This window comes from Homo sapiens, chromosome X (genome assembly GCF_000001405.40).
Source record: "Homo sapiens chromosome X, GRCh38.p14 Primary Assembly".
Lineage (NCBI taxonomy): Eukaryota > Metazoa > Chordata > Mammalia > Primates > Hominidae > Homo > Homo sapiens.
Genome location: NC_000023.11, coordinates 53,970,790 through 53,997,919, shown reverse-complemented (window position 1 = coordinate 53,997,919; position 27,130 = coordinate 53,970,790). Strand labels below are relative to the sequence as shown.

Sequence of the window (27,130 nt, the reverse complement as noted above, 5' to 3'; positions counted from 1 at the left end):
CTTCCCCTCGGATATTCTTGGATTTCATATTTTGAGCCTTCCCTTGCTCCCTGGGCTCACCTACACCTGGACCTTAGCCTGTGATTCTGTTTCTCCACACCTCTCAGGTGTGGCTACCTTGGGTTTCATCTCTGACACCTCCCATGGAGTGAACTTTAGAGTGACTGTGTCCCAAAAACACCAAAAGGGAGGTGGGTGTGGCCCAAGCACTCATGACTCAGGATGGACCCAGGGACCAAGGGATGGCCCCAAACAGAGTGATCAGTGGGAGCTGGAGTAGAGTAGAACACAGTTCTGAGAAGCCCATGCTCATGGAAGGAGTCTTTTGTGAAGTGCAGATGATTTGTAGGGGAGGAACCTGCTCCCTCACCTTTCCAGAGACCCTGGTCTGGGAAGGAGGAAGCCATAAGATTATTTAGCTGGGTCACATGGATTCTCAGCTCCCCGCCTAGCCACCAAAATAAATTCCACCAGATAGATGAAAAGAGTTAAAGGGAAAAAAGAGAATTAAACCATGAGAAACAAGGAAATGCTGAGGAATTTTTTATCAGCCCTCTGGATACAGAAATGAAGTGAAAAGTGGTAGAAAAAAAATCACAAAGGAAGAAAACCTTGAGATCTACATAAAAATGTAAATCTCGGTACTCAAAAAGAGGGCAAACGAAAGAGAGACAACTAACAGGGATCGCTCTGGGTTGCTGTTGAGCTAGCTGTGGGCCAGCAGCTGCTCAGCACAGAGTTCTTTCCTCACAAGTGGAGAGGCTGGTTTGTCCCCACTGATCTCCCTGAGGTCCTTGACTTTTTTGAGGGGTGTGGCCCAAACCCACAACTTAGTTCCTAATACCTTTTGATACTCTTTTATTAGATAGATGTTTTACAAATATTTTCTCTCAGTCTGTGCCTTACAAAGTAGCAGAGGTGCTGAAATAGAGGTTTTTCAAAAAAGTTTTGCTTTTTAAGTCCAGTTGATCAACTTTTTTCTTTTCTGGTCCATGCTTATGTCCTATCTAAGAAATCTTTGCCTAACTGAAGGCCACAAAGAACTCCTCCTCTGTCTAAAGCAGGGGTTTCCAGCCGGGGTGCAGTGGCTCACGCCCGTAATCCCAGCACTTTGGAAGGCCGAGGCGGGTGGATCACCTGAGGTCAGGAGTTTGAGACCAGCCTGGCCAACATGGCGAAACCCCATCTGCACTAAAATTACAAAAATTAGCCGGGCGTGGTGGTACGTGCTTGTAATCCCAGCTACTGGGGAGGCTGAGGCATGAGAATTGCTTGAACCCAGGAGGTGAAGGTTTCAGTGAGCCGAGACCACCACACCACTGAACTCCAGCCTGGGTGGCAGAGTAAGACTCTGTCTCAAGAAAATAGTAAGAAGTAAATAAAATATAGCAAGGGTTTCCAACCTTTTGGCTTCCCTGGGCCACCTTGGAAGAAGAATTGTCTTGGGCCATACGTAACGATAGCTGATGAGCTAAAAAAAAAAAAAAAATTACAAAAAATATCATAGGCTGGGTGCAGTGGCTCATGCCTGTAATCCCAGCACTTTGGAGGCCAAGGCGGGTGGATCACCTGAGGTCAGGAGTTCGAGACCAGCCTGGCCAACATGGTGAAACCCCGTATCTACTAAAAACACAAAAAATTAGCTGGGCGTAGTGGCTCACTCTAGTCCCAGCTACTGTGGAGGCTGAGGCAGGAGAATCGCTTGAACCCGGGAGGCGGGGGTTGCAGCAAGCCGAGATGGTACCATTGCACTTCAGCCTGGGCAACAATAGTGAAACTCCATCTCAAAAAAAAAAAAAGTCTCATAATGTTTTAAGAAAGTTTGCTAATTTGTGTTGAGTTGCATTCAAAGCCATCTTGGGCAGTGGGTTGGGCAAGCATGGTCTAAAGGGTGTATAGTTTTAGGTTTTACATTTAGGTCTATGATCCATTTTAAGTTTGTGTTTGTGTGTATGGTGCAAGATAGGGATTGAGGTTTGTTTGTTTTTGTTTTTTTTTTTGCATGTGGATATCCAATTGGTCCAGAATCATTTGTTGAAAAGACTACTCTTTCTCCATTGAATTGCCTTGGCATATTTGTCCAAAATCAGTTGTCTCTTTATGTGTGGGTTTATTCCTCATGCCTCTTGTTTGACAGGCTCTGCCAGACCATGAGGATGAGATCCCGGAGACAGTGCGAACCGTACAGCTCATTAAAGATCTGGCCAGGGAGATCCGCCTGGTGGAAGTAAGGAGCATGGGGCAGGGAAGAAAAGGCATTTGGAAAGGCCTTGAGGCTCAAGTGGCAGGTTAGGCCTCTGCAGTTAGCATGAGAGCCCAGGGGAAGGGTCGGGAAGACCCTACCAAAGACCCAATTCATTCGTTCAAATAATTATTACTGTGTTTCAAGTGTGCCGCACATTGGGCTAGGCTCTTAAAATACGTAAATAGTGCCTGCCCACAAAGAACTCAGCCTAATAGAGGACCCTGAGCAAAGTTAACCTCTTTGAGTTTCAGTTTCCTCATCTCTAAAATGGGGATAATTGTACCTACTCGAGGATTGTTAAAAGGATTAAATAAGGTAATGTGGGTTGAGCACAAAAATAGAGTGCTTGGCACACAGTAGGTGCACAGTAAATTCTGACGGTGGGTCGTGGTGGTGGGTGGTGGTGGTAGTTGTAGTTGTTGTTATTATTAATATTTTGACTCAGTCTCTGCATTCTGCAAAATGACAGTTCTCTCGGGGTGAAGATGATTACAAAGCCATGTTTCAACAGGTGGCATATACCACGAGGCAGTAAGGTATAGTGGTAAGAGATTCAGAGAAACCTGGGTTCTGGTTCCTGCTCTGTCACTTGCAAGCCTTTCAGAGCCTCAGTTTCCTCATCTGTAAAGTGAGGATAACATCAACCTTTCAGGATTTTGTTAGGATCAAAAGCTAATATATGTAGAGCCCCTCGCACAGTGCCTGGCAGAGTAAGTACTCAATAAATGTGAGCCATTGTTATTAGTAGACTTTAATAGCAAAGAGAGAAGTTGGTGTGGGATGGTGAAGTAGCAGAGGCACCAGAGGAGAATTCCTTTAAGCTCAGAAGCTGTAAAGTTTTATTTAGTGCCCAGGATATATACATCCATGCTGAAGGGTGGTCAAAGTGAGCTGGGAAGTTGTGCTTCTAGCCTCAATGCTTGCAGCATGTTTCACTGCCTACACCATAGCTTACAGTGTCCACCTCCTACCTCTCATTTTCCTCCAGTCCCATCTGTCAAAATCATTCAGGATAGTTAAAGGCTTACCTTTTCTCCAGCGCCTCTCACTTAAACCACAAAACTTTGGGCTGGTTGGAAGAGGACTTAGAGATAGATTATATGTGGTCCATGGGCTTTCAAATGTTTTAAAGCAATGGAATCCTTTTTTTAAAATGACATCTTAGGTGGAAGCCCAATATTCAAAGCATAACTGCTTTGAATAAGATGAAGGTGGGAGGCCCAGGGCTCCACTTGTTCTTCTCATTCGCCTTCTACCTTCCCCCGATTCTCGGGGCTCCTCCCAAGAAGCTCAAAGGAGCCACAGAACATCTTCAAAAATCACCTTTCCAGTCTAGTCCTTTAATTTTACAGCTAAGCAAACAGTCTCAAATGGTCAGATAACTTTCCTGAGCTAGTTACAGAGCTAGCTAGCAGCAGAATTAGGACTAGAACCTCTCCTTCTCTCAAATCCTGTAGTCCTTAGAATTTGAACCACACAGATTAGTACTTGATTATTTTCTGTCTCATGTCAGCTACTTAATGGAGTATTTTCTCTCCAGTTTTGACAGTAGTGCTTTGCTCGTCTTCTTACTTGTCAATGGCTGGGTAAAGAAATGCCACCCAATAAATTCTTGATGACTCATTATGTAAAAGCTAGGGTGTGCATATGTGGAGCATCTATAAGCCACTTCCATGGCAGTACCACCAGTACCAGGAACAGACCTCTGCTGTTAGTGTTGAGAGAACCCTTGAGTAAGCTCTAACCCCCTCATGTACTAACACTCTTGTAGGACATCTTCCAACAGAACGTTGGGAAGACGAGCAATATCTTTGGGCTGCAGAGGATCTTCCCAGCCGGCTCCATTCCCCTAACCAGGCCAGCCCATTCCACTTCAGTGTCCATGTCCAGGCTGTCACTGCCCTCCAAAAATGGTTCAAAGAAGAAAGGCCTGAAGCCCAAGGAACTCTTCAAGAAGGCAGAGCGAAAGGGCAAGGAGAGTTCAGCCTTGGGGCCTGCTGGCCAGTTGAGCTATAATCTCATGGACACATACAGTCATCAGGCACTGAAGACAGGCTCTTTCCAGAAAGCAAAGGTGGGTGCTGGCCCATGGGTTCAGCCCAACCCTTTTGGGTGTCCCTTGGAAGAGCAGGGTTTCAAAAAGCAGGCTATCCTGTCTGGCTGCCATGTCCCTTAGACCCCCTGCTGTTTGGCTACCAGTCCCACTCATTTAATAGGCATTTATTGAGACCTTTTCTATGCCGGGCACTGTGATAGGTGCTGTGGATGTGACTCTCAAGAGGCTGACAGGCGAGTGAGAAAGACAGGCATAAAAACAAATGAGTGCAATCAAGTATTGTGAATGCCACAATCAGGGGTGTGTGTGGGACCCTGAGATACAGAGGAGGGTTGATTCTGTCTGGGTAGGGAAGATTTTCAGGAGCTCTTTTCAGAAAACATAACACTTAGCTGAATTTTGAAATGCTGGGACGGGAATGAGATTTGAAAACATTGCGTGTGTCAGGTTGTAGTCTTGAGCAGGTCCTTGAGAAAAGCCCTCCACCAGGGCTCCATCTTGCCTCAAGATTGTGATTCTCTCCATGGGCATCTGAAGATGTGCCCCCTCTTTTTTAAGGGAACATGGTTCACAAGATTGACAGGTGTCCCCTGAACCAACCACACATTTTCAACCTCCTGCTCCTGTGATCAGTGGGGGTATGGGGGGACAGTATAGCAGAAGGCCTTGGCTCAGGTGGTTTTGACAGTGAACTGAACCAGTGAAACCAGAGGGAACTTGCCATCGTGATTCCCATGGGAGTCCCAGACAGGTAACGGCTGAGTCTCCTACTTCTACAGTTCAACATCACTGGTGCCTGCTTGAATGACTCAGATGACGACTCACCAGACTTGGACCTTGATGGAAATGAGAGCCCATTGGCCCTATTGATGTCTAACGGCAGGTGAGGTGGGAAGGAGGAGCACAGAGGTACTGGGACTGTCAGTGGTAATATGCCACTGAGACAGGGCATGGAATTGGAATCTAGGGGTTGGGACATGGGTAGGAGGGACTGTACTTAGGGCAATACCTAGATATTATAATGTATTGTTGCTTAGTTCAGAGAACCATGGTGTGGTGTTGGAGGTGGGTAGAGTGAGAGGTCTGAAATCGAATTGGCAAGCCTGAGAAAGATTTTATCAGTTCTAGAAACTTCAGCAAGTCATTGGGAGAGAACCACTGGCAGCAATAAGTATAGCATACTTACTAAAAGCATTAGTTTTTTCTATACCTTTTGACTTTCGATTAGATTTTTAGGAATTTAGTTTACAGAAATCCTTGCACACAAGTGTGTAACGATAAATGTTCAGTGTTCACTGCACCATTGTTTGTAATAGTAATTGGAAACATCCAAATGTTCATCAGTAAGGGCTAGATAAATAAATGATGGTACATCTATAGAATGGAATATCATGTAGCTGTTAAAAAGAATGAGACAGTTAAATATTGACACAGAAAGATGTTCAAGGTATATTTTTAAAATCAGGTTACATAATAATACATAGGAATAGTTCCATTTTTACTTTTAAAAGGGCATGTATGCACATGTGTATATGTATGCACGTATGGAAAAGCTGTATATAGACATTTGTATTTTTTGAAGAGGTTTAAAAATGCAATATACAAGCGTTAGAAATAAAACAGTGTGAAAGAGCACACAGTGAAAAATCTCACACCCATCTCTCTTTCCCTGTTACCTTCCCATGGACAACCAATGTCAGTGGTTTCCTTCCAGAGATATGTATGTACATTTAGGCAAATAAATAGTGTGTTATATATATGTAAATACCTTTAAAAAAAAATAGAGATGGGGTCTCTGTTATTGCCCAGGCTGAGCTCTAACTCCTAGACTCAGGTGATCCTCTCACTTCAGCCTCCAGAGTGCTGGGATTACAGGTGTGAGCCACCTTGCCTGGCCTAGTTATATATTTTATACTTCTCATACCAAGTTTTGTTTTTTTTTTTTTTTTTTTTTTTTGAGACAGAGTCTCACTCTGTTACCAGGCTGGAATGCAGTGGTGCGATCTCAGCTCACTGCAACCTCTGCCCTGCTCGGTTCAAGTGATTCTCGTGTCTCAGCCTCCCAAATAGCTGGGACTGCAGGCGCATGCCACTATGCCCAGCTAATTTTTGTATTTTTAGTAGAGACAGGGTTTCCGCATGTTGGCCAGGCTGGTCTCGAACTCCTGGCCTCGAGTGATCCGCCCACCTCGGTCTCCCAAAGTGCTGGGATTACAGGCATGAGCCAACATGCCCGGCCTTGTTATACCAAGTTTTTAACAGTGGTTATCCCTGGAAAGTACAATAGGGAAGGTAAGAGCAAATTTTCACTTCAGTAGCATTTGAATTTTGTACAATGAGCACGTATTTACTTTTCTTTAAATATTTATTTACTTTTCTTTAAATAATTTTAAAAGAACAAGTTCTAAAAGAATAAAATAAAAGCTGTTTACAACAAAATTATGGACTTGGGAATCAGGCAGTCCGAGGTTTAAATCCCAGCTGTGACACATATTCAGTGTTCTACTTTGGCAAACTAATGAACCTATCTGAGCTTCAGTGTCCTCATTATATGTATTCTATAGTTAAAACTTACCTTAGGGTTGTTGGAGGATTAAATGAGATAATATACGTAGAACGTTAACCACAGGGCCTGCCATATAATTAATACTTAATACATGGTAGTTCTTATAAATATGATGATGAAGATAGAGACAAAAGAATTCTCCATGAAGATGGTGATAATGATGTGGGTATGACCAGAATCCAAGAAGATTGTCAGAAACCCTGAAATACATAGAGGCAGGGGAAGGCAGTAAGGGCTATTTTCTAGATACTCAGAACACTAGACATCAGCAGTCAAGAGCCAAGTGCAGAGTATGAACGATGTAGGAACACAAACAACAAAGGTAGCTTAATTGCCTCCTTGTAGGAAAAGGTTACCTTCAGGTCCATCTGGGCCCATCTGGGTGGAAAATAAGGGAAAAAGGAGTGAGAGTAGGGCAGATTCTGAAAGCAACAGAGCTATTCTTGGGGTTTGAGAATCCAGTTACTAAAGTGTAAGATTAGAGAGACCGTTGAATATTGCCTTTGTCCAGAACTCATGATAGGTCTCCTGGACAGGAGAAAATTCAGAGTCCTAGGAGTCTAGCCTATAATGGCTATTGAAGGTACAATAAGACATTTCCTGCCCCTGCCCCACCCCCAGCAGTCCTTCTTGTGCTGCTGCCTATTACCCGCTGCAGCTGTCAGAAGCTGTTAAGTGAACCCAGATAGTCAAAGTATAGAAATATTTACAGATGATGTGATGCTATGTCTGGGCTTCTCTCCAAACTTGGTGTTTTGAAGAGAATGAGGTGTAGATGAAACAAGACTGGCTGGGTTGATAATTGCTGAAACTTAGCTGAGTGATAGGTATATGAGAATTAATTCTACTTTTATATTTTTGTGTATTTGAAATTTTTCTTTAAAATTTTTTTAAAAATTATTAGAGACAGGGTCTTGCTGTATTGCCTGGGCTCAAGCAGTTCTCTTGCCTCAGCCTCTTGAGTTAGCTGATACTACAGACATGCACTACCACAACCCAGCTGAAATTTTTAATTATTAGAAGTTAATAAAAGATCAGGGCATACATAGCTGTCATTTATTGAGCATCTCCTCTGTGTCAAAGTCTATCTTAGCTGTTTATATACACTATTTTATTTAATCCTCACAACCCCAAAAGTAAGTAGTAGTATCCCCATTTTACTAAGGTGAAAACTGAGAGTCAGAGAACCTTATAATATTACCTACATGGAGCAGTTGCCATGGATCAAGCTCTGTATGAGCTCATTTAATCCTCAACCCTCTGAAGTAGAAAATAGGTCAGTTAAATGACAGACAATTCACTGAAAGTCAATTTAACCAAATTACTAGTTGCTAAATGTATCAATTTACTGATTTACCAAAAACATGTTTCTTTTTAACTGTTTATGAGGTTTTTTTCAGCAGTTTGTATTGGTTAATATCGTCTACTATGTGTAACAGGATTATCTAAGCCACTTTTTGAGTCCTGAACAAAGGCAGTGTTCATTTCAACCAGCAATCATGAGTGTCTTCACTTACTGGCCAACGTTTGTTGTTTTTTTTTTCTTTTTGACTGTAGCCATTGAGGTTTTTCCAGCAGTTTATATTGGTTAATATCATCTACTATGTGTAACAAGATTATCTAAGCCACTTTTGAGTTCTGGACAAAGGCAATGTTCATTTCAACCAGCAATCATGAGTTTCTTCACTTACTGGCCAACATTTGTTATTTTTTTTTTCTTCTTGACTATAGCCATTCCGGTGGATGTAAAGTGGTAACTCATTGTATGTGTTTTTTAAAAAATAAAAATTGTGGCCCGGTGCAGTGGCTCACAGCTGTAATCCCAACACTTTGGGAGGCCAGGGTGGGCGGATCACTTGTTAGGAGTTTGAGACCAGCCTGGCCAACATGACGAAACCCTTGTCTCTACTAAAATCATAAAAATTAGCCAGACATGGTGGTGGGTGCCTGTAATCCCAGCTACTTGGGAGGCTGAGACAGGAGAATTGCTTGAACCTAGGAGGCGGGAGGTTTTAGTGAGCCAAGATCATGCCACTGTACTCCAGCCTGGGCGACAGAGCAAGACTCCATCTCAAAAAGAAAAAAAAAAAAAGCAAATATAAAAATTGTCTATATTTAAGGTATACAATGTGATATTTGATAAAATCTATACTGTGAAATGATTATGCCAGTAAAGCTGATTAACATATGCATCACTTCACATACTTACCATTTTTGTGTGTGTTTGTGGTGAGAACACATAGGTCTACTCTCTTATGAAATTTCAAGTATACAATACAGTATTTTTTTTTTTTTTTTGAGACGGAGTCTTGCTGAGGCAAGAGAATTACTTGAACCTGAGAGGCGGAGGTTGCCGTGAGCTGAGATCATGCCATTGAACTCCAGCCTGGGTGACAGAGCGAGACTCTGTCTCAGAAAAAAAAAAAAAAAAATTTTTTTTTGGATACAAATCCTTTGCCAGATAAACGATTTCCAAATATTTTCTCCCAGTCTGTGGCTTATATTTTATTTTCTTAATGGTTTCTTTTGAAATACAAAAATTTTTAATTTTACTTAATCCCAGGTCATAATGATATTTTTCTGTGTTTTACTCTAGTTTTATAGTTTTAGGTTTTACATTTAGATCTATGATGCATTTTAAGTTAATTTTTGTATATGATGTGAGATAAGGGTCCACATTTATTTCTTTGTATCCATTTTTCTCAGCAACTTCTACTGAAAAAAACCATCCTTTCCCTCACTGAGCTGCTTTAGCACCTTTTGTCAAAAATCATTTGATCATAACTGTACGGGTTTATTCGGAACTCTTTTCCACTGCTGTATGTCTGTCTTTATGCTGGTATTGCATTGCCTTGATTACCATAGCTTTAGAGTAAATTTTGGAATTGAGCAGTATAAGTCATCCAATGTTCTTTTTCAAAATTATTTTGGCTGTGTTAGGTCCTTTCTATGTCCATGTACGTTTTACTATCAGCTTTTTATTTAAAAAGCTGGCTGGATTTTGATAGGGATTGTATTGAATCTGTAGGTCAATGTAGAGAGAATTGCAATCTTGCTAGCGACTAACAATACTGCTAGTGACTGTTTTTATGTTCTCCTTCCCTTCAGTACGAAAAGGGTGAAGAGTTTATCCAAATCTCGGCGAACCAAGATAGCAAAGAAGGTAGACAAGGCTAGGCTGATGGCAGAACAGGTGATGGAAGACGAATTTGACTTGGATTCAGATGATGAGCTGCAGATTGACGAGAGATTGGGAAAGGAGAAGGCGACCCTGATAATAAGACCAAGTGTGTGTCTGTTCTTTCTTTTTCCTCCCCTGCCCGTTTTTTTGTTTGTTTGTTTTGAGACGGAGTTTTGCTCTTGTTGCCCAGGCTGGAGTGCAATGGCACGATCTTGGCTCACTGCAACCTCCGCCTCCCGGGTTCAAGTGATTCTCCTGCCTCAGCCTCCTGAGTAGCTGGGATTACAGGCATGTGCCACCATGCCTGGCTAATTTTGTATTTTTAGTAGAGATGGGATTTCACTATGTTCATCAGGCTGGTCTCGAACTCCTGACCTCAGGTGATCCGCCCATCTCAGCCTCCCAAAGTGCTGGGATTACAGGTGCAAGCCACCACGCCCAGCCCTTGCCCATTTTATATTTGTTTTTGGCCCTCTTGATAGACTTAAGACCTTAGGCCTGAGCTTGTTGACATTTTGCTATACTATGTTCTGTAGGCCTTCATTGTTTCCTTTGTTCTAAAGATTTATTTATCACCTGATCCCTAACCTCTAAATTAGTCATCTGTGGTCATTACTTCCAAGAAAATTAGTCTTATTTTTTTCTTCTGGGTATTTGGCTGAAATGCTAATCATAGCTTCATAATAAGTGCATTCCATTGTTTTCTAGAATTTCCCCGGAAATTGCCCCGTGCGAAGCCTTGCTCTGACCCCAACCGAGTTCGTGAACCAGGAGAAGTTGAGTTTGACATTGAGGTAGGATTCTGCCCTGGATCTAGTCTTCTGCTCATTCTGGTGATAGAGACAGAAGACAGATTGTCATTCTAGTTGGGGGATATGCAGGGAGGAAGACATCCTTTGCATTCATTTCCTGAATAATTTATTTATTATTACTATTATTTTTTGAGACAGAGTCTCCTCGCTCTGTTGCCCAGGCTGGGGTACAATGGCATGATCATGGTTCACAGCAGTCTTGACCTCCGGGGCCAGCTCAGCCTTCTAGTAGCTGGGACCACAGGCTCACACCACCAATGTAGCTAATTCTTTAAAAAAAATTTTTTTTTGTAGAGATAGGGTCTCGCTGTGTTGCCCAGGCTGGTCTCAAACTCCTGGGCTCAAGCGATCTTTTGCCTTGGCCTCCCAAAGTGCTGGAATCACAGGGTGAGCCACTGCATACAGTGAAATATTTATTAAGTGAAAGATTGTGTGCCAAGTGCTGCTGAGCATATAAATGGAAGATTTCAATTTAGTTGAAATACCTTAAACATCCTTTAATACAGAATAGAATGAAAGTCAGTGTGGGCCGGGCGTGGTGGCTCACGCCTGTAATCCCAGCACTTTGGGAGGCTGAGGTGGGCGTATCATGAGGTCAAGAGATCAAGACCATCCTGGCCAATATGGTGAAACCCTGTCTCTGCTAAAAAATTAGCTGGGCGTGGTGGCACACCCCTGTAGTCCCAGCTACTTGGGAGGCTGAGGCCGAAGAATCGCTTGAACCCAGGAGGCAGAGGTTGCAGCGAGCCGAGATCGTGCCACTGCACTCCAGCCTGGCGACAGAACGAGGCTCTGTCTGAAAACAAAAAATAAAAAGTCAGTGCGATGTAGCAGAAAGAGTATGTGATATGGAGTATCTGATGTGACCTTACACAAATTATTTAACTTCCCTGAGCCTTAGTTTTCTTATCTGTTTAAAATGGGAGTATACTACCTAGCTCACAAAGATGCCTTGGAAATTAAGATAAAAGAATGAATATTCTGCTTAGTACTTGGTCTATACTTGGTGCTCAGAAGATATTAATATCAGGAGTCAGATCATCGCCCCTGTACTGGGGCCTTACCAGACCAATCCTGGGCAGCTGAGGTGATACACTCTCTCTCCAACAGGAGGACTATACAACAGATGAGGACATGGTGGAAGGGGTTGAAGGCAAGCTTGGGAATGGTAGTGGCGCTGGTGGCATTCTTGATCTGCTCAAGGCCAGCAGGCAGGTGGGGGGACCTGACTATGCTGCCCTCACGTGAGTACTGGCTTTTATCTCCCCTTTCCAGGCTATCAGACAGCAACCCCCGCTCCCGCCCAAGGTGCCAGGTCAGCCAATCAGTAGATATTTATAGAGCTATTTAAAGGGACAAAGAATTATCCAGGGCATTTGGGTGAAAGAATAAAGTAGGCATGAAACCACTCCTAAGGAACTTAAGATCTGATGGCAATAAGATGTATAGACTTCAAGAGGAATCAATTTTGGGCACTTAGGAAGTTGGGAAGAGGGGCTGGAAGAGTCAAGCAAGGAGAATTGTTACAAAAACAATGAAAGGAAAGAATGCAGCATGCCTAAACAGGGAGGGAAGTGTGCCCCTTTTTTGCCACCTTGCCTGCTGTCTGTGGAGAGACAACACAAAAAGGACTGGCTTTTCGTGAAAGCAATCTATGATACTGTCTTGATCCTTAAACTTAATTCCAAATTTTTCACTTTGGATGATTCTCCCCTTTTTCCTCCCACTTTGATCCTCATAGCTATCATCCCTCCTCCCTGAGTATTCTGATGACCGATTTACTCTGACAGCTAAAAACAACTCTCTCAGTATTTCTCCTCTGTTCCTTGCAGCGAGGCCCCAGCTTCTCCCAGCACTCAGGAGGCCATCCAGGGCATGCTGTGCATGGCCAACCTGCAGTCCTCATCGTCCTCACCGGCTACCTCTAGCCTGCAGGCCTGGTGGACTGGGGGACAGGATCGAAGCAGTGGGAGCTCCAGCAGTGGGCTGGGCACAGTGTCTAACAGTCCTGCTTCCCAGCGCACCCCAGGGAAGCGGCCCATCAAGCGGCCAGCATACTGGAGAACCGAGAGCGAGGAGGAGGAGGAGAACGCCAGTCTGGATGAACAGGACAGCTTGGGAGCGTGCTTCAAGGATGCAGAGTATAGTAAGGGCAGCTAAGCACATGGGTTCAGGCCAGAAGGGGTCTCCTCAGTCCCAGTCTCCATCCTAGTCCCAATAGAGGACAGCTTGTAGTGAACAAAGTCCTGGTCTTAAGCCTGATACTTAGTTTCTCTAAGCCATATTTTCCTAATTTGTAAAATGGGAATATCTCACAGGTTAATGTTAAGAATTTGAGATTATGCTCACACAGATCATCTGGCACAGTTTCTTGCTCATGGGAAGCCTTCAAAAAATGGTAGTTATAATTTGCTATCATCTATTTTTACTAATGTCCAACCTTTACCGCTGGTGACTCTTTTTTTCTCTTGCCTGTTTGACTGCCATCATCTGTGTCATTTGTGTCCTGCGTTGGCCAGTTTGTCCCTTGCAGAGATACATAATGACCTTTCAGTGAGCTTTTTACATTTAAGAGATGACTCCTTTTTTTAATCCAAGATTTTATTGAGTACCACAGTGTATCAGGCACTCTTGTGTAATACAGGTGACTGTATAATGTAAGTGCTTTTTGTTTTGTTTTGTTTTGTTTTTTTTGAGACAGAATCTCCCTCATTAACCCAGGGTGGAGTGCAGTGGTGCCATCTCAGCTCACTGCCACCTCCGCCTCCTGGGTTCAAGCAATTCTCGTGCCTCAGCCTCCCGAGTAGTTGGGATTACAGGCGTGTACTATCACGCCTGGCTAATTTTTGTATTTTTACTAGAGACAAGGTTTTGTCATGTTGGCTAGGGTGATCTCGAATTCCTGGCCTCAAGTGATCTGCCCGCCTGCCTTGGCGTCCCAAAGTGCTGGGATTATAGGCGTGAGCCATCGCGCCCGGCCATTGTTTTAATATTTCAAAAGTTATACAAATATGGTTAATGCTTATTGACCAAAATTAGAAGAAGATGGAGAAAGCAAAAATTCTTTTTGACTAACACTGTTTCCTCTCTGAACCCAAAGATAACCTTTGTCATCATTTTCATGTATACCTTTTATTTTGTTGTGTTTACATTCATATGTAGACAGAAGTGTAGTTTTAGTGTGTGTGGTTCTGCAACTTGCTTAGTTTTCTTTCAATGTCAGTGCAGAGATATACCTTATCAATACAGAGATCTATCTGCTGCATAGTGTTCTGTAATATAGAAATATATCATATGTTTAATCATTCCCTACTGATTGACATTTAAGTTGTTCCTAAGTTTTTACTTTTACTAACAATGCTGCAATGAAAATTCTTACAGTAACCTTTTGTACCTGTGTGCCAGTTAATATTTTTCTAGGGGGGATAGACCTGTTGAGTTGAAGGGTATGTAGAAGACAAATGTTAATAAATAGTGCCAAATTTCCCTCCAAAAGGGCCAGTACATGATCAGTGTATGAAACATACCTGTTTACCCATAGTCTTACCAGCAATGGATACTATCAGCCTTTTTAATTTTTGCCAACCTTATGGCAAAAGATGGTGTCTTGTTTGTTTTACGTGTTTATTGACTCTTCTTTATTCCTTTTCTGTGAATTTTCCATTCAGTCTTTCACCCATTTTTCTGTTGGGATGTTTTGTTTTTCTTATTGATTTGTAAGAGTTCCTTATATATTCTAGATGTGTTGGAGTATTTTTTGTATATTCTGGATTTATTGAAAAATATTTCCTTTTAGGTTTGTGTTTAATTTTATTATGTCTTTCTAGCATGTAGATGATTTTGATTTTTACATTGTCATCTTTATCAATTTTTTTTTTTTTTTTTGAGACACAGTCTCACTCTGTCTCCCAGGCTGGAGTGCAGTGGCGCAATCATGGCTCACTGCAGCCTCAGACCTCTGCAGTCCCACCTCAACCTCCCTGGTAGCTGGGACCATAGGTGCATACCACCACACCCAGCTTATTTTTTGTACAGATGGGGTTTCGCCATGTTGCCCAGGCTGGTCTCAAACTCCTGGGCTCAAGTGGTCCTCCTGCCTTGGTCTCCCAAAGTGCTGGGATTATAGGCGTGAGCCACTGCATCCAGCCATCTTTATCAGTTTTTAATAGTTTTTTGTATTTTATGTTTTGATTAAGAAGGCCTTCTTATATTTTCCCCTAAAACTTGTATAGGAGTTAAAATTTTAGCTCTTTATCTGGAATTAAGTTTTTGTGAATTGTGGGAGGTTAGAATCTAACTTTATTTTTTTCCACATCAGTAGTCATTTCCCCCAGCACCATTTATTGACTAATTCATCATTATCCCCCTGACTTGAAGTTCTACCTTTGTCATAAACGAAATTCCCATATATATGGGGATTTGTTTTCCACTTTAGTCCAAGTTCTGTACCTTAATAGCTATATGACCTTGGTCAGGCTAGTTAACCTCTCTATGCCTCTCTGTGATAGTCATACCTACCTCATAGGTTGTTATGAGAGTTAAATAAATATACAGAAAGCACTTAAAACATTGCCCAGCACATGATAAGTAAGTACTGTGTATTAGATATTATTAATATTATTCTGTTCCATAAAATCAACTTGTCAAAACAAATTTTTATTTTACCAAACAGATGCTAAAAAAGAAAATGAAAATCAACTTGTCTATTCCTGTGACAATACCATGTAGGTTAGTTACCACAGACTTTGTTTCTGGTAGAGCAAATCCCCTCTGCAGACCTTGCTGTGAACCTGAGGAGACCACAGATGCTCACCAAGGCTCTCATCTTTGAGCTAAGCTTTGATTTGTTTTAGGGACATGCCAGGTTCCCCTGGCCACCCACTCTACTGTGAGCAGTCAAATCACATTGACCTGCAGCTAAGATGTCTGGACTTGATTTAACCGCTCCTCTTAGAACAGCTCACTCAGCCTCTCCTCCCTCCTTCGCCTCCCTACTTTGCCCAGCAACCATGGAAAGGCAGCTTACCAAGGAGAGACCTCCCTACTTTTTCTTATTTTTCCAGAATTTCGAGGCTGCTGTTGAGCTTTTTCTATTCCAGATGGATTTTAGAATCAGCTTTTCAAAGGATTGCATGGTGTTTGTGGATTAATTTATGGAGACCTATCTTTCATCAGAGGCATTTCGGCTATACTGGGATTTGCGCATTCCTGAATATAACCTCATGTCCTGAAAATTTGTGCACTAAAAACAATAAGGCAGGCAAAAAGAGATTAGGGCCACAGCCCTCAAAATCTATGTGACTTTGAAGCCAAAATACAGACTCAAATAATAGCAGTTCTAAGTTAGAGCCCAATGGCATTTGTACCCGGCATTATAGTCAGTGGCTTCTCTATGGCCTTAAGCTCTGGACTCAGACTTCCTCTTTCCAAATCTGGATTCTTTTGAGGGCATTTGGTTAAATAGATACCAGCTTCATCAAATCAAAATCTGATCCAGGGCCTAGTCCCTATCAATCTTTTTTGGCAAAACAAACAAACAAAAAAAAAACAGAGGGAAATGTCTTTGCAACTTCTTTATCTGCTCTGTCAGGTAGCCTATCCCATCAGAACTAAATTTTGTAGAAAATAGTCACCATTTATTTTTTCTCTGGTAGGCAAACTTGTGTGATTTTTAATTTTTGTCTGTATGTCTTCTTATGTTGCTAAGGCTTTCTCTGTAGTTGTGAAAAAGTCTACCACTGATTGGTTGTAAACAACTATGGAAAATTGTTTTTGAACTGGTACAACTTCTGAACAGCATTGAAATCATTGTTTTGTCTTTTTGTTGTTGTTTGTTTGTTTGTTTTGAGACCGAGTCTCACTTTGTCGCCCAGGGTGGAATGAAGTGGCGTGATCTGGGCTCACTGCAATCTCTGCCTTCCTGGTTCAAACAGTTCTCCTGCCTTGGCCTCCCAAGTAGCTGGGATTACAGGCACACGCCACCACGCCTGGCTAATTTTTTGTGTTTTTAGTAGAGACAGGGTTTCACCACGTTGGCCAGGCCGGTCTTGAACTCCTGACCTCAAGTGATCCACCCGCCTCAGCCTCCCAGAGTGCTGGGATTACAGGCGCGAGCCACCAGGCCCAGCCAGACATCTTTCTCTTATTTACCTTTTGGGTATGAGCAGCAGCCATCTTTTGTTTCTGTCTTCAAACATAGTCTGTCTCTATTTATTCAGGTCTTCTTGTATGTATCTCTTCTTTGGTTTATTTCTTCTTCAGTTTATTTCTAGAAATTTTATTTTGGTTCGTAAAATTGGCATCTTTTTATGTATTACGTTTTCTAATTGGCTATTGCTAATACGGAGGACAGTAGTTGATTCTTTCCCATATCAATCCTGTATTGGACTACCTTATTATACTGTTATTAGTTCTATTTGTTTTCAGTTTATTGTCTTGAGTTGTTGAGGTAGATGATCTGTGTGTCCTGTATTAGTTTGATAGGGCTATCATAACAAAATATCACAGACTGGGTGGCTTAAACAACAGAAAGTTATTTCCTTACACTTTTGGCAGCTGAAAGTTGAAGATCAAGGTGCTGGCAGAGTTGGTTTTTCCTGAGGTCTCTCTGCTTGGCTTGCAGATGGCCTTCGTCTTGCTGCCTCTTCATGTGGTCATACTTCTGTGCATATACGCCCATGACGTCTCTCTGTATGTCCTAATCACCACCTCTTATAAGACCACCAGTCAGATTGGTTTAGGGCCTACTCTAATGGTCTCATTTTAACTTAATTATTTCTTAAAAGGCTCTATCTCTAAATATAGTTACATTCTGAATACTAGGGGTAGGTCTTCACCATATGAATTTTAGGGGACACCATTCAACCCATAATATCCTCCTCCTCTCCAGTATTCATACCTCTAGCTTCCAGTTTTATTACAGTGTTGAGTCATAGTGGTGATGGGGGCATCCTTGTGCTGTTTTCAGACTTTAAAGGGAATACTGCCAGTCTTTCTCCACTCAATATATAGGTCTCTGTTAGACTACTCTCATAGAGTTCAGGGGAGTCTCTAGCTATTTATTTACTTATTTAGACACAGTCTCGCTCTATCACCCAGGCTGGAGTGTAGTGGCGCAATTTTGGCTCACCGTAGCCTCCACCTCCTGGGCTCAAGTGATCCTTCTACCTCAGCCTCCCGAGTAGCTGGGACTGCAGGTGCACGCCACCACTCCTGGTTAATTTTTGTGTTTTTAGTGGAAACAGGGTTTTGCCATGTTGTCCAGGCTAGCTTTACTTTAAAAGATTTTTTTTTGTTTTAAAATCAAGAATCAAATTAGGTTTTACCAAATAATTTTGGCATATTTGGACATAAATACATAGTTTTTCTATGTTAATTTGTTAATACAGTGAATGACATTAATAAAATTACTAATTTTGAATCGATATTTTCTTGAGATTAGCTGTACTTGTACTTGGTTGTGGTGTTTAACAATAGTTCATCTAGTTTATTTGATTGCTAGTCTTTTCAAAAACTAGTTTTTTGGCTTTATTGATCATCTCTAGTGTTTGATATTTTATTCTCTTTTTAATTTTTCTGTATTCAACATCTTGAGTTGAAAGCTCTGTTGATGTATTTTCAATCTGCTTTTTGGTAAAGCGTTTTTTAAATTTTATTTTTATTTTATTTATTTATTTTTGAGACAGAGTCTCGCTCTGTCACCCAGGCTGGGGTGCAGTGGTGCAATCTCGGCTCACTGCAACCTCCGCCTCCCCGGTTCAAGCGATTCTTCTGCCTCAGCCTCCTAAGTAGCTGGGATTACAGGTGTACGCCACCACGCCTGGCTAATTTTGTGTATTTTTAGTTGAGACAGGACTTCAACATATTGGCCAGGCTGGTCTCAAACTCCTGACCTCAGGTGATCCACCCGCCTCAGCCTCCCAAAGTGCTGGGATTATAGGCGTGACCCACTGTGCCTGGCCTGAAATTTTATTTTTTAAATTAACATGAAGTAAAATTGACTCTCTTGGTATACACATGTTTATATTCTTCCAGCCACCATAATCAGGATACAGAGCCCTTTGATCACTCCCTAACCTCCTTTGTGTTACTACCCCCTTTGTAGTCATGCCTTCCCTCTACTCCCGAGCAACCACTGATCTGCTCTCTGTCACTGTGGTTTTTGCCTTTGCCAGAATGTCATATAAATGGAATTATGCAGTATGTAATATTTTGAGACTGGTATCTTTTGCTTACCATAATGCCTTTTTTTTTTTTTTTTTTGAGATGGAGCCTCGCACTGTCGCCTGGGCTGGAGGGCAATGGCGTGATCTTGGCTCACTGCAACCTCTGCCTTCCGGATTCACGTGAATCTCCTGCCTCAGCCTCCTGAGTAGCTGGGATTAAAGGCGCACACCACCACACCTAGCTAATTTTTTGTATTTTTAGTAGAGACGGGGTTTCACTATGTTGGCCAGACTGGTCTCGATCTCCTGACCTCGTGATCCGCCCGCCTCAGCCTCCCAAAGTGCTGGGATTACAGGCATAAGCCACTGCACCCGGCCCACCATAATGGCTTTAATATTCATTCATGTTGTTGCATATCAAAAGCTTGTTCTTTTTTATTGCTGAGTAATATTCCATTGTATGGATTATACCCATTGAAGGTCATTTCAGTTGTTTCCACTTTGGGGTGATTACAAATAGAGCTGCTGTGAACATTCAGGTATAGGTTCTTGTGTGAATATGAGTTTTCATTTTTCTAGGGTAAATACCTAGGAATGGGATTCCTGGGCGGTATGGGCAGTGGGTGTTTTAACTTTACAGGAAACCACTGGCTGGGTGTGGTGGCTCGTGCCTGTAATCCCAGCACTTTGGGAGGCCAAGGCGGGCACATCACGAGGTCAGGAGTTCGAGACCAGCCTGGCCAATATGGTCAAACCCTGTCTCTACTAAAAATACAAAAAATTTAGCCAGGTGTGGTGGCATGTGCCTGTAGTCCCAGCTACTCAGGAGGCTGAGGCAGAAGAATTGCTTCAACCTGGGAGGTGGAGGTTGCAGTGAACCGAGATTGCATCACTGCACTCCAGCCTGGGGGGACAGAGTGAGACTCCATCTCAAAAAAAAAAAAAAAAAGGCCGGGCGCAGTGGCTGACGCCTGTAATCCCAGCACTTTGGGAGGCCGAGGTGGGTGGATCACGAGGTCAGGAGATTGAGACCATCCTGGCTAACACGGTGAAACCCCGTCTCTACTAAAAATACAAAAAATTAGCCGGGCGTGGTGTCGGGCGCCTGTAGTCCCAGCTACTCAGGAGGCTGAGGCAGGAGAATGGCGTGAACCCAGGAGTCGGAGCTTGCAGTGAGCCGAGATCGCACCACTGCACTCCAGCCCGGGCAACAGAGCGAGACTCTGTCTCAGAAAAAAAAAAAAAAGCTACTGAACTGTTTCCCAGAATGGTTGTTTTACATTTCCACTAGCAATATGTGGAATTCCAGTTGCTCTACATACTCATCAGCACTTGGTTTTGTCAATATAGTTATTTTAATCATCCTAATAAGTATGTAGTGATATCTCATTTAGTGATTCATCTAATGGCTAATGATAATAAACAACTTTCTGTGTGTTTGCCATTCATATATCCTCTTTTTTGAAGTGTCATTAAACAGACATTTTGAATGCATTGTTAAGATTTCTTGTTAAGGATTTAACTATGAATTTTTCTTTTTGTTTTCTTTTCTTTGTTTTTTTGAGCCAGTCTTGCTCTGTCACCCAGGCTGGAGTGCAGTGGCACGATCTCGGCTCACTGCAACCTCTGCCTCCTGGGTTCAAGTGATTCTCATGCCTCAGCCTCCTGAGTAGCTGAGACTATAGGTGCGTGCCACCATTCCCCAGCTAATTTTTTTTTTCTAGTAGAGATGAGGTTTCACCATGTTGGCCAGGCTGGTCTTGAACTCCTGACCTTAAGTAATCCACCCACCTTGGCCTCCCAAAGTGCTGGGATTATTGGCATGAGCCACCACACCCAGCCTGGATTTATTTTCTTTAGTAGATATAGAATTTTCAGGTTATCTGTTTGATTTTAGGTGAGTTATTTATTTATTTTTTATTTATTTATTTTTTAAGACTAGCCAAGGGCAGTAGTGAAAAGAGGGGAAAGAGTTTGGGTGAGTTTTTATAGTTTGTATCTTTCAAGGAATTGGTCCATTTCATATAACTTACAGAATTTATGGGCATAGAGTTGTTTGTAGAATTCCCCTATTATTCTTTAAATGTCTATGGGGTCTTTAGTGATATCCCCCTTTTCCCTTCTCATTCTTGATATTGGTAAATTGTTTCTTCTCTTTTTTTTTTCCTTTGCCATTCTTGCTGGCACTTTGTCTTTTTTTTTTTTTTAACTTAAAAAGTGTTTTTAGGGCTACAGGTGCATGCCACTGGCTGTTTTTTTATTTTTATGGAGATGGGGGTCTCACTGTGTTGCATAGCCTTGTGTCAAACTCCTGACCTCAAGTGATCATCTCTTCTGGACCTCCCAAAGTGCTGAGATTACAAGTGTGAGCCAGGCCTTATTGTGTCAATTTAATGGATCTTTTCAATATTTTTGGTTTCATTTTCTATGTTTTGTCAGTTACATTCCACTCTTAATGTAGTTAAGATTGCTGTAGTTTTATTTTATTCTTTTTCTAATTTCAGAGATGATCGTTTAGATTATTTATTTGAGACCTTTTTCGTTTCTTTTTTTGCTATTTTTATTCTATTTTATTTTATTTTATTTTTTTGAGACAGAGTCTTGGTCTGTCACCCAGGCTGGAGTGCTGTGGCGCAGTCTCCGCTCGCTCCAACCTCCACCTCCCAGGTTCAAGTGGTTCTCCTGCCTCAGCCTCCCGAGTAGCTGGGATTACAGTCAGGCGCCACCATGTCCAGCTAATTTTTGCATTTTTAATAGAGGTGGGATTTCACCAGGCTGGTCTCGAGCTCCTGACCTCAAGTGATCGCCCTCCTTGGCCTCCCGAAGTACTGGGACTAAAGGTGTGAGCCACCATGCCCAGCCTTTTTTTTTTATTTTGGTATTTTATAAAGTTGATATATTAACAGCATATTGTGTATATTTTGGGGTTACATGTGATATTTTGATACATATATGCAATGTGTAATGATGAAGTTAGGCTTAGTGATATATCTATCATCAAACCTTTATTTTTGTGTCAGAAACATTATAATTCTCTTCTAGCTGTTTTGAAATATGCAGTAAATTATTAACTGTAATTTCTTGACTGTACTATTGAATGCTAGAATTTATTCCTTCTATCTAACTGTATTTTTGTACCCATTAACCAACTATTTTTCATCCCCCGCTTCCTTTCCCAGCCTCTGGTAACCACCATTCTACTCTCCACCTCTGTGAGATCCACTTTTTTAGCTCTCACATATGAGTGAGAACATGCGATATTTGTCTGCGTATTCCTGGCTTATTTCACTTAATATAATGACCTCCATTTTCCTTCATTTTACTGCAAGTGACAGGATTTCATTTGTTTTAATGGCTAAATAATATTCCATTGTTTATATATACCACATTTCTTAATTTTACTCATTTGTCCATTGATGGACACTTAGGTTGATTCCATATCTTGGCTATTGTGAATAGTATTGCAGTGAACATGGGAATGCAGATATCTCTTTGATATACTGATGTCTTTCCTTTTGGATATGCCCAGCAGTCAAATTGCTGGATCATATGGTAGTTCTATTTTTACTTTTTCGAGACACCTCCATACTGTTTTCTATGATAGTTGTACTACCTTATATTCCCACCAACAGTAGTATGAATGTTCCTCTTTCTCCAAATGCTGAAGAGTAACAAATCCTCTCCAGCTTTTGTTACTTTTTGTCTTTTGGATAATAGCCATTCTAACTTGAGGTGAGATGATTTCTCATTGCAGTTTTGATTTCTATTTCCCTGATGATGAGTGATATTGGACATTTTCCCCATATACCTGTTGGACATTTTTTTTCCAACTTTTAAGTTCTGGGGTACATGTGCAGGATGTGCAGGTTTGTTACATAGGTAAACGTGTGCCATGGTGGTTTACTGCACAGACCAACCTATCACCTAGGTATTAAGCCCAGCATCCATTAGCTGTTCTTCCTTGTACTCTCCTTCCCCACCACTGACAGGCCCTAGTATATGTTGTTCCCCGCCTCCCATGTGTCCATGTGTTCTCGTCATTCAGCTCCCACTTACAAGTGAGAACATGGGGTATTTAGTTTTCTGTTCTTGTGTTAGTTTGCTGAGAATAACAGCTTCCAGCTCCATCCATGTCCCTGCAGTGGACGTGATGTCGTTCCTTTTTATGACTGCATAGTATTCCATGCTGTATATGTACCAGCTTTTCTTTATCCAGTCTATCATTGATGGGCATTTTGGTTGATTCCATGTCCTTGCTATTGGGAATACTGCTGCAGTGAACATACGTGTGCACGTATCTTTATAATAGAATTATTTATATTCCTTTGGGTATATATCCAGTAATAGGATTACTGGGTCAAATGGTAGTTCTGCCTCTAGATCTTTGAGGAATCACCATGCTGTCTTCCACAATGCTTGAACTAATTTACACTCTCACCAACAGTGTAAAAGCGTTCCTTTTTCTCTGCAACCTCACCAGCATCTGTTGTTTTTTGAGTTTTTAATTGCCATCCTGCTGGTGTGAGATAGTGTCTCATTGTGGTTTTGATTTGCATTTCTCTAATGAACAGTGATGTTGAGCTTTTTTTCATATGATGGCCGCATGAATGTCTTCTTCTTTTTTTTTTTGAGACGGAGTCTCGCTCTGTCGCCCAGGCTGGAGTGCAGTGGCACAATCTCGACTCACTGCAAGCTCCGCCTCCCGGGTTCATGCCATTCTTCTGCCTCAGCCTCCCGAGTAGCTGGGACTGGGACTACAGGCGCCTGCCACCACGCCCAGCTAATTTTTTTGTATTTTTAGTAGAGACTGGGTTTCACCATGTTAGCCAGGATGGTCTCCATCTCCTGACCTCGTGATCCGCCCGCCTCAGCCCCCCAAAGTGCTGAGATTACAGGTGTGAGCCACCGCGCCCGGCTGAATGTCTTCTTTTTAGTGGGGTTGTTTTCTTATAAATTTGTTTAAGTTCCTCTTAGACTCTGGATATTATACCTTTGCCAGATGGATATATTGCAAAAATTTTCTCCCATTCTGTAGGTTGTCTGTTCACTCTGATTATAGTTTCTTTTGATGTGCAGAAGCTCTTTAATTTAATTAGATCCCATTTGTCAATTTTTACTTTTGTTGCAATTGCTTTTGGCATTTTTGTCATAAAATCTTTGCCTGTGCCTATGTCCTGAATGGTATTGCCTAGATTTTCTTCTAGGGTTTTTATAGTTTGGGGTTTTACATTTAGGTCCTTCATTCATCTTGCGTTAATTCTTGTATATGGTATAAGGAAGGGATCCAGTTTTAATTTTCTGCATATGGCTACCTGGTTCTCCCCAGCACCACTTATTAAATAGAGAATCCTTTCTCTATTGCTTGTTTTTGTCAGGTTTGTCGAAGATTAGATGTGTGTAGGTGTGTGGTCTAACTTCTGGGTTCTCTATTCTGTTCATTGGTCTATGTGTCTGTCTTTGTACCAGTTGCATGCTGTTTTGGTTACTGTAGCCTTGTGGTATGAAGTCGGGTAGCGTGATGCCTCCAGCTTTAATTCTTTTTGCTTCGGATTGTCCTGGCTATTTGGGCTCTTTTTTCATTCAATGTGAATTTTCAAGTAGTTTCTTCTAATTCTGTGAAGAATGTCAATAGTGGTTTAATGGGAATAGCATTGAATCTGTAAATTACTTTGGGCAGCATGGCCATTTTCACGATATTGATTCTTTCTGTCCAGGAGCATGGAATATTTTTCCACTTGTTGGTGTCCTCTCTCATTTCCTTGAGCAGTGGTTTGTAGTTCTCCTCGAAGAGGTCCTTCGTTTCCCTTGTTATGTGTATTCATAGGTATTACATTCTTTCTGTAGCAATTGTGAATGGGAGTTCATTCATGATATGGCTCTCTGCTTGTCTGTTGTTGGTGTAAAGAAATGCTTGTGATTTTTGCACATTGATTTTGTATCCTGAGACTTTGCTGAAGTTGCTTATCAGCTGAAGAAGCTTTTGGGCTGAGGTGATGGGGTTTTCTATATATAGGATCATGTCATCTGAAAACAAAGATAATGTTACTTCCTCTCTCCCTGTTTGAATACCCTTTATTTCTTTCTCTTGCCTGGTTGCCATGGCCAGAACTTCCAATGCTATGTTGAATAGGAGTGGCGAGAGAGGGCATTCTTGTCTTGTGCCAGTTTTCAAGGGGAATGCTTCCATCTTTTGCCCATTTAGTATGATACTGGCTGTGGGTTTTTCATATATGGCTCTTATTATTTTGAGGTATGTTCCTTCAGTACCTAGATAATTGAGAGTTTTTAACATGAAGGGATGTTGAATTTTATCAAAGGTATTTTCTGCATCTATTGAGATAATCATGTTTTTGACTTTAGTTCTGTTTATGTGATGAATTACGTTTATTGATTTGCATATGTTGAACCAACTTTGCATCCCAGGGATGAAGCCAACCTGATGGTGGCGGATAAGCTTTTAGATGTGCTGCTGGATTCAGTTTGCTCATATTTTATTGAGGATTTTTGCATCAGTGTTCATCAGGGATGTTGGCTTGAAGTTTTCTTTTTCTTTTTTTTTTTTTTTTTTTTTTTGAGACAGCGTCTTGCCCTGTCACCAGGCTGAAGTGCAGTGACGTGATCTCTGCTCACTGCAACCTCTGCCTCCTGGGTTCAAGTGATTCTCCTGCCTCAGCCTCTCGAGTAGCTGGAACTACAGATGCGTACCACTATGCCCAGCTAATTTTTCTATTTTTAGTAGAGACGGGGTTTCACCATGTTGGCCAGGATGGTCTTGATCTCTTGACCTCGTGGTCTGCCTGCCTCGGCCTCCCAAAGTGCTGGGATTACAGGCGTGAGCCACCGCAGCCGGCCGAAGTTTTCTTTTTTTGTTGTATCTCTGCCAGGTTTTGGTATCAGGATGATGCTGGCCTCATAAAATGAGTTAGGGAGGAGTCCCTTCTTTTCAATTTTTTGGAATAGTTTCAGTAGAAATGGTACCAGCTCTTCTTTGTACCTGTAGTGGAATTCAGCTATAAATCTCTCTGGTCCTGGGCTTTTTTTGGTTGGTAGGCTATTTATTACTGCCTCAATTTCTGAACTCATTATTGGTCTATTCAGGGATTCAGTTCCTTCCTAGTTCATTCTTCGGAGGGTGTATGTGTCCAAGAATTCATCCATTTCTTCCAGATTTTCTAGTTTATGTGCATAGAGGTATTTATAGTATTCTCTGATGGTTGTTTGTATTTCTGTGGAGTCAGTGGTGATATCTCCCTTATCATTTCTGGTTGTGTCTGTTTGATTTTCTCTCTTTTGTTCTTCATTAGTCTAGCTAATGGTCTATCTATTTTATTAATTTTTTCAAAAAAGAAGCTCCTGAATTTGTTGATTTTTTGTTTTTTTGAAGGGTTTTTCGTGTCTCTGTCTCCTTCCGTTCAGCTCTGATCTTGGTTATTTCTTGTCTTCTGCTAGCTTTGGGATTTGTTTGCTCTTGGTTCTCTAGTTCTTTTAGTTGTGAATTTTGAGATCTTTCTAGCTTCTTGATGTGGGCATTTAGTGCTATAAATTTCCTTCTTAACACTGGTTTAGCTGCATCCCAGAGATTCTCATACATTGTCTCTTTGTTCTCATTAGTTTCAAAGAACTTCTTGATTTCTGCCTTAATTTCATTATTTACCCAGGAGTCATTCAGGAGCAGGTTGTTCAGTTTCCATGTAGTTGTGTGGTTTTGAGTGAATTTCTTAGTTTTGAGTTCTAATTTTATTGTGCTGTGGTCTGAGAGACTGTTATGATTTCAGTTCTTTTGCATTTGCTGAGGAGTGTTTTACCTCCGATTATGTGATCAATTTTAAAGTGCCATGTGGTGATGAGAAGAATGTATATTTTGTTTTTTGGGTGGAGGGTTCTGTAGATATCTATCAGGTCCACTTGATCCAGAGCTGAGTTCAGGTTCTGAATATCTTTGTTAATTTTCTGTCTAGATGGTCTGTCTAATATCGTCAGTGGGGTATTAAAGTCTCCCACTATTTTTGTGTGGGAGTCTACGTTTCTTTGTAGGTCTCTACGAACTTGCTTTACGAATCTGGGTGCTCCTATATTGGGTACATATATATTTAGGATAGTTAGGT

The 27,130-nt window shown here is 41.7% G+C and overlaps 1 protein-coding gene across 12 annotated transcripts in view, besides 1 other annotated feature; it reads left to right on the top strand.

The window, feature by feature from the left end:
* PHF8 (PHD finger protein 8) overlaps positions 1-27,130 on the top strand; it is a 112,257-nt gene that overhangs the window by 51,017 nt on the left and 34,110 nt on the right. For 8 of the 12 annotated variants that reach the window (XM_005261996.2, XM_011530778.2, XM_047441934.1 and 5 more), the window contains 7 exons: positions 2,138-2,227; positions 4,017-4,319; positions 5,081-5,184; positions 9,976-10,154; positions 10,757-10,842; positions 11,971-12,104; positions 12,693-13,006. In XM_005261996.2, coding sequence (XP_005262053.1) covers positions 2,138-2,227; positions 4,017-4,319; positions 5,081-5,184; positions 9,976-10,154; positions 10,757-10,842; positions 11,971-12,104; positions 12,693-13,006 — 1,210 coding nt within the window. Of the gene's footprint in view, positions 1-2,137; positions 2,228-4,016; positions 4,320-5,080; positions 5,185-9,975; positions 10,155-10,756; positions 10,843-11,970; positions 12,105-12,135; positions 12,176-12,692; positions 13,007-27,130 lie in introns of all 12 variants that reach the window. The other 4 variants (NM_001441096.1, NM_001184897.2, NM_001441098.1 and 1 more) reach the window with 2 other exon arrangements.
* Positions 24,930-25,224: a silencer, noted in NCBI's record as "tiled region #5322; K562 Repressive DNase matched - State 9:DNaseU". NCBI's record gives its function as "represses a minimal TATA promoter and a strong SV40 promoter by Sharpr-MPRA in K562 cells {active_cell/tissue: K562}" and the evidence as "EXISTENCE:reporter gene assay evidence [ECO:0000049][PMID:27701403]".